At 30.0% G+C, this 701-nt stretch overlaps 1 non-coding gene across 1 annotated transcript; it reads left to right on the top strand.

Moving 5' to 3' along the window:
* Nucleotides 1–258: 258 nt before the first annotated feature.
* LOC124906180 (small nucleolar RNA U13) lies at nucleotides 259–362 on the top strand. The gene has a single exon (XR_007088766.1). It is a non-coding gene; the product is annotated as a small nucleolar RNA U13 (small nucleolar RNA).
* The last annotated feature ends 339 nt before the right edge of the window (nucleotides 363–701 follow it).

The raw sequence follows: 701 nt of genomic DNA, 5'->3' as shown, positions 1-701 counted from the left end.
TGTAGACTATATGATAATTTCCTGAGAGTATGTTTTGACTTGAAAAGATACATACTATCATAGCTAAAATTTAATTTAAAATTTCATAATTATTTAGAATTTAAATAATGTGGTAAATAACCGTACATTTTAAAACATAATTGAATGCAGGCATTATGAATTACGGTTGAAGCCATACATTAAGGAATCTGAGAGAAAATTATGAAAGGACAGGTGCAGAGGGACAATGTTGACAGAGTAAATCAATTAAGAAAATGTATATTTTTGTGATTCATAAGTATAATGATGGAGTTTTCAAATTCACGTGTGTGATGTGCCCCCCTCAAACCTCTTTATGATGTCAGCATATTGCTCATCTGACATAAAAAAATTACAAAAAAAATAGAAAATAAATAATATAGAGGAATACATCACTTTAGCTGTTTTATATGTAGCCATAGTCACAAGTTAGTCAAATCAACAAAAAATCTATTAAGATAGTGCACAGTAATAATTGTTATATCTATTTTTATGAATACCTTATTTTTAGAGCAGTTTCAGGTTCACATCAATATTGAAAGAACAGTCCAGAGATTTTTCATATACCCCCTTTCCCCAAATATGTGAATCCTCCCCCATTATTGACATCTCCCATCAGATTGATACATGTGTTACATTTGAAGTACCAACATTGAAACATCATAATAACCCCAAGTCCATAG

Source organism: Homo sapiens, chromosome 2 (genome assembly GCF_000001405.40).
Source record: "Homo sapiens chromosome 2, GRCh38.p14 Primary Assembly".
NCBI lineage: Eukaryota > Metazoa > Chordata > Mammalia > Primates > Hominidae > Homo > Homo sapiens.
This window is presented reverse-complemented; position numbering and strand designations above follow the sequence as displayed.